We start from the raw sequence: 13,856 nt of genomic DNA on the forward strand, positions 1-13,856 counted from the left end.
AGTTTCTATGGAAACTGTGAAATAATCACCTTAACATTAAATAGGCTGTCTACATCAAATACAGAGGGAGAAAAAGAAAACTTTCAAATGAGTGAAATTCCTTGAAGGATCTAACACTTGTCTACTAACAGCAACTTTAAACTGTTACCTCATGGGAACTGACAGGAATGTCAAGCAGCAGGGCCAGAGTCAGTAACAGTTTACATTGGCTCTGCAGCTGTCAGAATGCACATGGACATAGTAGTATTTCAACCAATGAAATTCACTAAAAGCGTCTGTGAATATTATGTGGCCAACATCAGTAAAACAACAGACGTAGTCATGAAAACAAACGCATATATTCCTCCATTCTTACAGAAAGCCAGCTGGACCACTCACCAAAGCATTCACTCTAAAGGCTCAATTCAGAGGGAAAAATGGTTTCAAATCAGATGCTCACCGTTCTAGTGAATGTGTCTGCCATTCTTGTAAAAGCAAATCTAAAAATTCAAAACAGCGCCTAAAAAGTATTAAGAAATACACAACTTATTAATACATATTTTAGTGAAAATGAAAACGGCATTTTTCTTAAGTGACCCAATACTATTTTTTATAATTAGTACATTTCTTCTGATTTTTATGATTAGAAAAACAGAACATAAAGAATGAATCAGAACTGACTAAAAACCAAAGCAAATGAAAGTAATTAAGCACCTATTAGTGCCACAGGGACACAGGGACAGGATCCAAGCATTTCTCTCCAATCAGAAGCTTGCACTTCATGGCAACATCACTGAAAGGACTTACCACTGTCATTCATTTTTATACTATCCTAAGTAATATGTTAATAGAGAATGTACACATGCACAGAAGATCAACAAACATGACACAATCAGGTCTTTGCATTAATTTCGGAGAATGCTTTGCACAAAAAAAGTTAAAAGTACCTTGAAAAACTAAGTGCTCTCCATATTTTCATGCTAAGGCCCTAAATAGTGCTTAAAATGGATTTTCTCCAACTACTTTGCTTTCCTCCAACCAACCAATAGAAGGATGTTTCAGCATCCTTCTATTTAAGCCTTTTCACTTTTATGATTTTTCTTGGTCTGATTTGTGCACAAAAACAATTTAGATTACATCACCACTTCGGGTTCTACCTCTACAAAATTTTCTTTTTCTGGCCGGGCACAGTGGCTCACTCCTGTAATCCCAGCACTTTAGGAGGCCAAGGCGGGCGGATCACTTGAGGTCATGAGTTCAAGACCAGCCTGGCTAACATGGTGAAACCCCATCTCTACTAAAAATACAAAAATTAGCCAGGCATGGTGGCGGGCGCCTGTAATCCCAGCTACTCAGGAGGCTGAGGCAGAAGAATCACTTGAACCCGGGAGGCAGAGGTTGCAGTGAGCCGAGATCGTGCCACTGCACTCCAGCCTAGGCGACAGAGCGAGACTCTGTCAAATAAACAAACAAACAAACAAACAAATAAAAATTTCTTTTTCCTAAGTCTAGCATTTCTATTTTTGTATGAATAAATCCTAATAGTCCTAGGAACCCATTCAAGAACGCACAAATCAGAAGTAAAATCTTTCTCTAAAGAAATGACCAGACTTTCTTTCCTACAACCTTCCCAATTCACAACTTATAATCCATACACAATCACTCAATAAATCAAGGCTGGGAGCAGCGGCTCACGCCTGTAATCCCAGCACTTTGGGAGGACAAAGCAGGAGGATCACCTGAAGCCAGGCATTTGAGACCAGCCTAGGCAACAAAGCAAGACACTGTCTCTACAAAAAATTTTTTTAAAAAAATTAGTTGGGCATGGTGGCATGCACTAATAAAGTCCTAGCTATTTAGGAAGCTGAGGTGGGTGGATTGCTTGGGCCCAGAAGTTTGAGACTGCAATGAACTATGATTGCACCACTGCACTCCAGTTTAGGGAACCAAGTCAGACCCTGTCTCAAAAATAAATAAATAAAAATAATTATTTACTGACCCTTTACCCCATGCTAGATGCTGGAGATCCAATGATAACCAAGACACAGCCCAGAGAACATAAGAGACAAACAGTTACACTGCCAGAATGCAAGGGGCTCCAGCAGCTCACAGGAGAGCCATGCAGCTTGGTCCTAGGGCCGGCAGTGGTGGGGCCAGAGTGGTAGAGCAAGCCTTTTCAAAGGAAAAGACACCAACTACACACACACACATTCCTCACCATCACCCTCCCCATTCCTGCCCCAATCCCCAATCTAGACCATGTTTATTCTACTTTCACCCTTTTGCCTGTGGCATTTCCCAGTCTGGGTTTTTCTTGGCTCTTTACTGCACTTATTCCTACTCATCTTTCAAAATGTAGCTCATTTTTAACCCATCTATGAAGCTTCTTGGGAAAACATCAGCAAGCTTTAATCACTGCTGTATCTGAACTCCTAATTCCACTATATATACGTTAATGTCAGAGTGTGTGTAATCCATTTGTTACCAATTCTACGAAGCGAAGCTAAGTACAGGCTGAATATGTAGCTAAGAAGGTGCACTGCCTTGCTTACACTGCTCTCTTAAGCTCCCTCTCCCTTTCTGAGGGCAGAGGGCAGAGGGACTGGGCAAGATGGTCTCTATTACTTCTCTCAGCATTAAGACATACAGTTCTGACTGATACCCACTGGCTAAATACAGAAATAACAATCTGAGTGTGTGGTTCAGAAATTGGTGAGGGTGGCGGCATTTCTATTGTCACAATAACTGTAGGGTGCTACTCATATTTAGTGCCAAAGGCCAGAACTGCTAAATGTTATGAAGCGAATTTTATCTCCCTGCCCACCCCCCCCTCCAAAATTAATATGCTGAAGTCCTTACTCTCAATGTGATGGTTATTTAGAGATGGGACCTTTGGGAAGTGACAAGGTTTAGATTAGGCATGATAATGGGGCCCTCATTATGAGATTAGTGTCCCTATAAGAAGAGATAACAGGTAGCTTGTTCTTTCCTCCTTCCCACCCTGCTCTCCCTCTCTCCCATGTGAGGACACAGGAAAACACTGGTCTACAGGCCAGGACGAGAGTCCTCACCAGAATCTGACCTTGCTGGCACGCCGACTTTGAACTTCCAGCCTCTAGGCCAGGGGTATCCAATCTTTTGGCTCCTCTGGGCCACAGGGAAAGAATAATCGTCTTGGGCCACAAATAAAATACACTAACACTAATGATAGCAGATGAGCTTAAAAAAAAATCTCATAATGTTTTAAGAAAGTTTACGAATTTGTATTGGGCATTCAAAGCTGTCCTGTGCTGCATGGTTGGACAAGCTTGCTCTAGACTGTGAGAAATAAATCTGTTGTTCATGCCATCCAGTCTGTAGTATTTTGTAATGGCAGCCCAAGATGATGAATCCCCTAAACATCTTGCAATGTTCCACAACAAAGATCCGTGTCATCTTATCGGAGAAATTTTGCCTTACGCAAGGAAAAACACATTCTGAATTTCTCTTGGAAACCTAACAATAGCGAAATGAAAACAACAGCAGCAAAATGAAAATAACAACAGCCACAGCTGCAACAAATTAAGCTTTCACTAAATGTTTTACGTAATGATTGTGAATCCTCCAAACCTTACAGAGGGGTACCTTTATACCTAACAAGTCAAACGAGTAAGTGGGAGAGGAATGTTTCAACTGATGCTGGTCAGGTTCTGAAGTTCATAATCATCCCTCTGGCATGCCAACTTTACATTCTCATCTCTAGGGGAAGCTAAAGCTGTTCCACTCTAACCCCAGGAGAAGCTGAACCCTAGGTCAAGGGTAGATTGCATTCCCTGGGGTACGCACTTGAGCCACACAGTAAGGAATTACATTTTTTCAGTGGAAGGTATAAATTTCTTTTTTCGTGACTTTAGATAGCTGGATTATTCTTCTTTTCTCTTTTTGTCTTTCATGTAGTTATTAATGAGATGGATATAAAACCAACTACTAGGTATATATCCCCAAAAAATGAAGTCAATATGTTGAAGAGATATCTGAACTCTCATGATTATTGCAAGACTATTCACAATAGCCAAGATAGGGAATCAACCTAAGTATCCATCAACAGATGAGGAGATAAAGATAATGTAGCATATATATACAACAGAATCTATTCAGCCTTAACAACAACAAAATAAATCTTGTCATTTAAGACAACACAGATAAACCTGGAAAATATTATCTTAAATGAAATAAGCCAGGCATACAAAGACAAATACTGCATGATCTCACTTAAGTGTGGAATCCAAAAAAGTCGACTCAGGCTTAGTGCAGTGGCTCACAACTGCAATCCCAGCACTTTGGAGGTTGAGGCCAGCCTGGGCAACATGATAAGACCTTATCTCTACAAAAAATTTAAAACTTAGCTGGGGGCGTGGTGGCGGACGCCTATGGTCTCAGCTACTTGGGAGACTGAGGCGGGAGGATCACTTGAGCCCAGGAGTTAGAGATTGCAGGGAGCCATGATTGTGCCACTGCACTCTAGCCTGGGTGACAGAGTGAGGTACCACCTCTAAAGCAAACAAAATTGGACTCATAGAAGCAGAAAGTAGAATGGTGGTTCTCAGAAGCTGGGGGTTGGGAGACTGGGGAGATGTAAAGCATGCAAAATGTCAGGTAGATAGGAGTAAGTTCAAGAGATCGATTGCACATCATAGTGATGTGACTACAGTTAGTAACAACATATTATATACTTTAAAATTGCTGAGAGTAGATTTCAAGTGTTCTCACCACAAAAAAATAAGTATGTGAGGTGATACACATGTTAAAGAGCTTGATTTAACCATTACAAAATGTATACACATTATCAACACAGCATGTTGTACACCATAAGTCTTCACAATTTTTACTTGCCAATTAAAAAAACAAAGATTGGGCATGGTGGCTCACATCTATAATCCCAGCACTTTGGGAGATCAAGGTGGGAAGACTGCTTGAGCCCAGGAGTCTGAGATCATCCTTGGGCAACATAATGAGACCCCCGTCTCTAAAAAAAAAAAAAAGTAAAAAAAGAAAAAAGATTAGTGGGCCATGGTGGTGTGTGCCTATAGTCCCAGCTACTTGGAAGCCCAGGAACTTGAGGTTACAGTGTGCTGCACTCCAGCCTGGGTGAAAGAAAGAAAAGAAAGGAAAGCAATAAAGGAAGAAAGGCAAGAAAGGAAGGAAGGAAAGGAAAAAGGAAAGAAAAGGAAAAAAAGGAAGAAAAAGAAAAGGGGAAGGGAAGGAAACAGAAGGGAAAGGAAGAAAAGGAAAGGAAAGAAAATTTTTAAAAAGGCGGTCTCTGGCCAATTTGTTAAAAATAATAAAATAAATTTTAAAACGACAAATATAGAGCTGCTTCATGTTTAAGAGGGTCTTGTACCCATAGAAACCCAGCAGGATCAACAAGACACCCCAGGAAAAAAGGTAAACGGCTGGCAAAGGTCATCTGGGCTCTAAATCTTAAGAGTGAAGGACTCTTTCACAGGGCTAGCATCAAGACACACAGCTAAGGGAATGGGGCCAAGAGGTTGCCCAAGCCTGCCAGTAATTATCCTATAAGACTCCCAATACAGTCTACTGGAACAGCTTTAGTGGTATTCATGAATTCCCTGAAAACCTACACAAAACTATTCTGTACATTTACGACTTGCTGGAAAGAGGGTTCATAGATTTTAAAAGACTCTTAAAACACTCAAGAATCACAGGTCTGAGCTGAAAGAACACAGTCTTTATTCCTCACACGTAGTTTAGGGCAGCTCGCCAGGACATATAAGATAGGGACTTGGGAACAAACCCCTAGCTAGTTACCCAGGTTGTATTTGCCTGTGTCTTCTGGGTATATCTCCCACAACTGCACAGAACTAAGTGACAGTGAAGATTCAGAATCCCAGAAATCGCTAACAGAAGATGCAAACACATACCTTTCCCCTCACCTATGTTAATACAAAACTATTGCCATTGATGTTTACGGTATTTTTTTCTTGCATGCAGTTACTGCCTTTACTCAGGGAATAGGGCAGACCGATGACAAAGGTAGGAGGATTATCACAGGAAAAAAATGTACAGGGAGTCCTCTCCCCTTCTCCTTCTGCCACTAACACCCAAACTCACTTTCTCTCACACAGACATACACACACACACACACACACACACACACACAGAAACATAATAGAGGTTGTCCACATTCATTTCCCAAAATATTTAGATCTTGATTCTTCAACTCAAAGTCATTTACTGCAGTGATTTTAAGTAATACTAAGCATGTTATACATGAAATTTTATCCATGGAAGGAGATTTGGAATTTGTTTTGGTTTTTAAACAATTCAAAAACAATGAGAAAATCCTTTAAAATTTACCTTCTAACTGCGACAGACTTAGAGGTACAGTTGCTTGTTATGACAGGTATTAACCTAGGGATGTGTGTGTGCTGTGAAGAACAACAAAAAACAGAGGTCAACACTTGCAAATACAAAAACAAAACAAAATTAAGAGAATCACTTCCTTACTAACCTACTTATAGCACATATATATTCAGATTAGAATGTCAGTGAGTTTTAAAAGAAAAAAAGAATTCACAGGATATTGTCAAAAGCCATTAGAAAATTTACAGAGTTAAGAACAGGCAACATGATGACATGAAGATAAGCCTAAAACAATCATTAGTATGAGGTCTAAATTATCTCAGCTGTAGACATCTGAGTGGGTTTAAAAGGAGTGGGTTTGAAAGGAGTCATCAGACCAATATATTTTGATACTATTTCAATAGAAATGTCCAATAATGACCTTGGGTTTAACAGTTAAAGCAGGCAGTGCAAGTAAGAACAGTAAGAACTTATAATACAAAGTAAATAACCAATAATCAAGAATATTCTGGATAGATTTTAGACAACATCATCAAGCCTCAAAGTTTCAAGAGCTGCCTCTGGGCAAAAATGACTTGAAAGTGGTGGGGAGGTAATGTGGAAAACCATTTTAAACCTTTGTGAACTATTAGATTTTGTTAAAAACCTGTGTATAAATTACTTGGATAATTATTTAAATTTAAACAAACAAGTGCCTAGAAAACCTAACCAAAGAGAACATTTTGTTTCGTGCTTATGTGCAATTAATTAAACTTTTGGGTGAACAGTAAAACCACAAGCACCAATACCTAAAACGGAAGGACTGGGACTAAGGAGGTAAGACTAAGAGTAATATCCGAGTAACAAGAATACAATATAAACTCAGAAGCAGACACCGGATGTTCGAACATTTTAAACCAATAGTGAGTTAACAATCAATACCTCATTAACTTTATAACACAACCATAATTCACATTATGGATTATAAAAAGCTCACATGCCACAATTAAGTAGGGGGAAAAGATGATATATATACAAAATTCCAATATAATTATGCTAATAAATTTAATGACTCAATATAATTATGTTAACAAAAATGCCTCTAATATTTATCAACCATCAGTATTTACCACTTGCTTATTTCAAGCATGGCCTATAACATACTTACCCGAATAATTAACCTAACAGCTACAACACCAGATGTGGCCATAATTTTGGCACTGTTTGGAATTAAATTAAAGATAGTTGGCATAATGGCTTCAGCTCCATGGTCAAACTTATTCCCCAGAACTGATGACAGATGCCTAAAACAAGAAAAGGATACTGGACTATAGTTATTTTTCTTAGAGACAGTGAAGCATATAAACCACTTAACATCTAGAGCCTTCATTTAAAGTTATCTAGAAAGGACAAGGGTCTGAGATTTCCGATGTGCATGTTAAGAACTTGGCAAATAGTTCTTAGCCCAAAAGTTTTGTTGTTTTTTTTTTTAAAAAAAAACATTTCCAACTAGTCTGTGGAGCTTTTTGTTTGTTTTCTAGAGGCAGGATCTCACTACCTTGCCCACGTTGAACTTGAACTCCTGGGCTCAATCAATCCTCCCACTTTGGCTTTCCAAGTAGCTGGGACTCCAGGCACATACCAGCCCACCTGCCCCAGCTAGTCTTAAAATAGCAAACAAACTGATTATATATTAATAAAACACAAATATGAAAAAGCACCCTTGGCTCCTTTTTCTTTTTTCTTTTATCTTAACATAAAATATTCAGGCTTCAAAATCTGACTTCAGCCAAAACTTAAAACAGCTGCAATGCCTCCTCCTGCTGCTGCTGCTGCTTTGATATTCCGACATACATTCTAACACAAAGTTTTAATAGCTTTGATCACTAGTACACGTACAGCTAGAATAAAATCTTACTGCAGTAAATGCCTTTAACTTTATAACTACAGTACTCTTCTAGGAACAAACATTCTGATAAACACGCTATTGCCTGCCAGCAAAAATCAATGAAAAATCAGAGAAACAGGATTTTATAGAATTTCACTTTTCCATATTAATAACTGCTTCAAAGTTTGAAATAAAGACTTCAGAGCTATGTCACTGAATAAAATTTAAAATCTGTCACACTTCACATAATTGAGCAAAAAGTATTGTAAAACTACTGAAAGAAGTGTTAACTGGAATGGGTCTTGGAGACTAGTCAGAAGTTACATTAAAGAGACCCAGCTCACATGTTCAAGGAGACATCTCTGAAGCTCTGTGGTGACACTATTTTATGGTGAGAATATGGAGCATCGCAGTCCTTACCCCAACGTGATACAAGCCTCCCGCACTACCTGAGACCGCAGGTCCTTAGCAGAGAGTTTAAAGGCTCCATCCAAAAGACGCAAATGTTGAAAGAAGTTATCATACTCAGCAGCACCAGCCAAAAGTAAAGATCTAATCTTTTTTAGCTAATGGAATAGAGAAAATTCAGAAAAATAGAAAACAATTCTAACACAGACTATACACAACAAAAGAAGTCATCAAATACAAAAGAGATCATTGTTAAAGTTCAACTGATTAGAAAGCTTTCCCAAAAGAATTCAGCCAGTTAAATATTAGCTAATACAATAAACAAATCTACATATCACAAATAAGACTAAATAATTTTTAACTAGAGTATTTGTGACACATATACTATAATTTCTGCAAAAAAAGTTTTACATTTGAAATATCTTAAAGTATTTATAGATCCTACAACACTAATGATAAATAATTAAAAACTTTTGGCTTGTGAAAATCCCCTCCTAAGCTTACCTCCCCGCGACACCCCACTTCAACTGCCATTTATTTAAGAATCAAAGGAAGAAGCATTCCTATAGTATTTATTATCCTCCACTGAACCATTAAATGGCTGGTCTGAATTTGAAATACAATATAATGGCAATTGTACCACTTCTCTTCTTGCCAGCCAACCAGTAGAAAATAGCCTTCTCAGATAAGACACACCCTCACTTTAATGCTGAGCCCACTTTCCATTAATCTACTTTTAAAAATAAAGGAGACACAACTTTCTAGCAAGTGATAAGAAGAAAGAAAAGAATATTGGAGACATACACTAAAAATGCCACAAAAAAGCCACCTTAAAGGCAAACAATCACAGAATGAAATTTCTGCTAAGGTGAGAGTGGAGACTATTACCATACATTCCACAGTCAGGTCTTTGTTAAAAGACTAGGCGATTCATAAAGGTGTAAGTTGGTGTGTTTTCAAAATAAAAATAAAAGGAGACACTCTACTAAAAAGGTGAAGTATAAATATGATAATTTGAACTTAAAATATGTACTATTTAGAATTCATTAGAGCTGTCCCAATTTCACAATAAAGTATTTGAGATATTTAAATACATCTTATGAAAATGTAATCACATGAAGTCAACAGCTTACAGCATTTACTCTCTGCTCCCAATCATGCTTGTCATCAGATAATATTTCCCTAATTTTGTTTATGGATTCCTCAAGGTCTCGGCTGGAATAAATCTGTAAGCAAAATTAATTTACAATCAATATAAAAACATGCAGAATAAACAGATTATTTCTTAATTACATGAAGTCAAGAACATTAAGTATGGTAAAAGAAATTATTTTTTTAAGAAATACCTATGAGAAAATATCTGAACAGTTTTGTCTATAATGAGGATCTTTCTCACTACAAATGTGTACCCACAAGATTTGCTGCCATATGTGAATAACCCTGCCTCAAACATAGCTTTACTATAAACTTAACAGATGATTTCATGTACAAAGAGAAACAAGGCTAATGGGAAACAGCCAGTGATGCCTAAGTCATTTCTCACTTAGTATTATTTATAACATGACACTATACCTATAAATTTAAACAGTTTCAAATCTACTTTCTCATTTATCCCCACATCTTACCTAGAAAACAGGTAAGGTACAGGGTATAATCAATCTTGATGTATGCTGGGAAGGTCAGGTCAAGTACTTAAGGATGAACCTGAACCCGAGATTGTTTTTTGTTTAAGACACTGGGAATCACTCTGTCGCCCAGGATGGAGTGCAGTGGCGCAATCTCAATTCACAACAAACTCCACCTCCCGGGTTCAAGGGAGCCTCACACCTCAATCTCCCGAATAGCTAGAACTATAGGCACAAGCCACCATGGATGATTTTTGTATCTTTTATAGAGATGAGGTTTCGCCATGTCGCCTAGGCCACTGAGATTCTTGTTACCTGCTTTATACACATATGGCAACCAAGGTGGCAAAGAGAGTTGTACATAACAGACAGTAAGTGCCACAGGAATCCAGAGCACAGACAGTCAGTGTAGGCTGAGGAAAAGTATTAGTCTCAATCAGCAACAGACGATACTAAGGCACAAAGCAGTCAAACTTGTGGCTGTATCCCAATTTTTATAAATAATCTTTGTTTCATCTGTTAGGTACTTAAAGTGAAGCATCAAAGAAGGTATAAACTAAGCTCTTATTAAACCATTCTCCATAACTTTTCAGACACCAAAATCCTTCAAACTTATGAATTAAAAAAAAAAAAAATCCCTAAATAAATATACTTTTTTTATTCTCTAATTTAGCGTCATCTATTTCTTTCTCTTTTATGTGACCTGATCCATAAACTTAATAATAGAGCAACCAATGTCTTTCCCGTTCTTACTGAAAGATTATCTTGGGCCTTGACTTTTGCTCCAACATTTTCTGGTCTGCACCTCAGATCTCCTGTAGTGCTGACAGTTAAAATTACCTGACCTAGTAAACAACATTACATAGGCAGAATTGAAAAATAAAACTTGAAGAGTAAGTTGACCCTTGTTTGTAATCATACTCAAATATCCTCACTGACCTGTACTACAGGTACATCATCAAATGCTTTAATAAAATCCTCTTCATCAACAGCACCAGCTCCTTCTTTTGCAGCTGTAAAAAAGAATTTTAAAAATGTAAACAATATGAAACAACGTCTATAACACATACACTGAAGAAGTCTAAACATACACAATCAAAATTACATTTTGGAAGATTCAGAACATTTTTTTAAAAGGCTTCATATAACTTTGAAGTGTCATGAAATTGACAAACATTACTGACTTCATATCAAGATGAAATATAGTAATTCTACAATGCTATATACATTAGCTTAAGGTCACTTAGACTACCTGTTTAAGCAGGGAGGGTATGGGTTTTAAAGGATTTAGATATTGTATTAACATACAAGTCCTTTGAAAGATTCCTAATAAATGGATCAAGCAGAAAATTTAATTCATCAGGGAATAACTTAAATTGTTATTACTGGGAATCCAGCATAACAAATTTGTGAATATTCAAACAAGTCCTAAATAATTTCACAGTTTTATTTAACTTTATATTAGTTTGAAAACATTTCTATTTCCTTGAACTCATGATAACTGTCATTTTTTTCACTTAAGAATCAGTTACAAGTTTCTCCTACAAACTTACCCTAAGATGCTTTGTATAATTAAAAGTATTGGAGAAAGTATTTCTTTTTGCTAATATGAGCTCCCCTTTATGTATGAAAATCAAGTGATGCTTTATCAGATTTTTTTCACATTGTAAAAATTGGTATCTATAGTCCTCTTCATAACCCCCATTAATGATTTACATGGATTAGTCTGATTGCTTTTCTAAGACCTTCTTACCACTCATGTATCTGGTGTTCAGGGTCCTGATAACTATCCAGACAGAAAGGGGCTTTAAAGACAATCCCAGGTAGCAGTAAATGTGTGTCATCACTCTTGCTGAAGATCACTCACACTGTGGAAAAGCTAACTACTATAAAGGATGACCGTCACTCACTGTGATGTGGTGCTCTGTGTCTGTTTTAGCATAAAAACTGGATCCCATTGAGCAGATAGGCCCTGAATGCCTCCTTTGCATAAGGCCCTACACCATGTACCCACATATACTGAAGAGGACTCAAAGGCCAACAACAGTCCCTGAGCCTAAGCTATCTGATGAGGAGGAGCTAATCAGGAAATTCATGACTATGGCATTAAACAACATGCAAAAAGGATAAGTGCAGGGCTGAAGGGGAAAACTGGGCTGATATGTGCATAATCTACACAGCAGGGACTTCTGGAAGGGGTATGGACGCGAGATGGGAAGGAAAGCACCAGTCTAGTAATTTTCTATTTTATTTTATTTTATTATTATTATACTTTAAGTTTTAGGGTACATGTGCACAATGTGCCGGTTAGTTACATATGTATACATGTGCCATGCTGGTGCGCTGCACCCATTAACTCGTCATTTAGCATTAGGTATATCTCCTAAAGCTATCCCTCCCCCCTCCCCCCACCCCACAACAGTCCCCAGAGTGTGATGTTCCCCTTCCTGTGTCCATGTGTTCTCATTGTTCAATTCCCACCTATGAGTGAGCATATGCGGTGTTTGGTTTTTTGTTCTTGCGATAGTTTACCGAGAATGATGATTTCCAATTTCATCCATGTCCCTACAAAGGACATGAACTCATCCTTTTTTATGGATGCATAGTGTTCCATGGTGTATATGTGCCACATTTTCTTAATCCAGTCTATCATTGTTGGACATTTGGGTTGGTTCCAAGTCTTTGCTATTGTGAATAGTGCCGCAATAAACATACGTGTGCATGTGTCTTTACAGCAGCATGATTTATAGTCCTTTGGGTATATACCCAGTAATGGGATGGCTGGGTCAAATGGTATTTCTAGTTCTAGATCCTTGAGGAATCGCCACACTGACTTCCACAATGGTTGAACTAGTTTACAGTCCCACCAACAGTGTAAAAGTGTTCCTATTTCTCCACATCCTCTCCAGCACCTGTCGTTTCCTGACTTTTTAATGATTGCCATCCTAACTGGTGTGAGATGGTATCTCATTGTGGTTTTGATTTGCATTTCTCTGATAGCCAGTGATGGTGAGCATTTTTTCATGTGTTTTTTTAGCTGCATAAATGTCTTCTTTTGAGAAGTGTCTGTTCATGTCCTTCACCCACTTTTTGATGGGGTTGTTTGTTTTTTTCTTGTAAATTTGTTTGAGTTCATTGTAGATTCTGGATATTAGCCCTTTGTCAGATGAGTAGGTTGCGAAAATTTTCTCCCATTTTGTAGGTTGCCTGTTCACGCTGATGGTAGTTTCTTTTGCTGTGCAGAAGCTCTTATTAATTAGATCCCATTTGTCAATTTTGGCTTCTGTTGCCATTGCTTTTGGTGTTTTAGACATGAAGTCCTTGCCCATGCCTATGTCCTGAATGGTAATGCCTAGGTTTTCTTCCAAATTCGACAACCCTTCATGCTAAAAACTCTCAATAAATTAGGTATTGATGGGACGTATCTCAAAATCATAAGAGCTATCTATGACAAACCCACAGCCAATATCATGCTGAATGGGCAAAAACTGGAAGCATTCCCTTTGAAAACTGGCACAAGACAGGGATGCCCTCTCTCACCACTCCTATTCAACACAGTGTTAGAAGTTCTGGCCAGGGCAATTAGGCAGGAGAAGGAAATAAAGGGTATTCAA

At 38.0% G+C, this 13,856-nt stretch overlaps 1 protein-coding gene across 37 annotated transcripts in view; it reads right to left on the bottom strand.

Annotated features, from left to right (window-relative positions):
• CLASP1 (cytoplasmic linker associated protein 1) overlaps nt 1–13,856 on the bottom strand; it is a 311,687-nt gene that overhangs the window by 113,575 nt on the left and 184,256 nt on the right. For all 37 annotated transcript variants that reach the window (XM_047443792.1, XM_047443782.1, XM_006712383.2 and 34 more), the window contains 6 exons: nt 11,182–11,255; nt 9,751–9,843; nt 8,630–8,775; nt 7,490–7,625; nt 6,337–6,407; nt 440–499 (listed from right to left, as the gene is read on the bottom strand). In XM_047443792.1, the coding sequence (XP_047299748.1) occupies nt 440–499; nt 6,337–6,407; nt 7,490–7,625; nt 8,630–8,775; nt 9,751–9,843; nt 11,182–11,255 (580 nt within the window). The remainder of the gene's footprint in view (nt 1–439; nt 500–6,336; nt 6,408–7,489; nt 7,626–8,629; nt 8,776–9,750; nt 9,844–11,181; nt 11,256–13,856) is intronic.

This window comes from Homo sapiens, chromosome 2, assembly GCF_000001405.40.
Source record: "Homo sapiens chromosome 2, GRCh38.p14 Primary Assembly".
Lineage (NCBI taxonomy): Eukaryota > Metazoa > Chordata > Mammalia > Primates > Hominidae > Homo > Homo sapiens.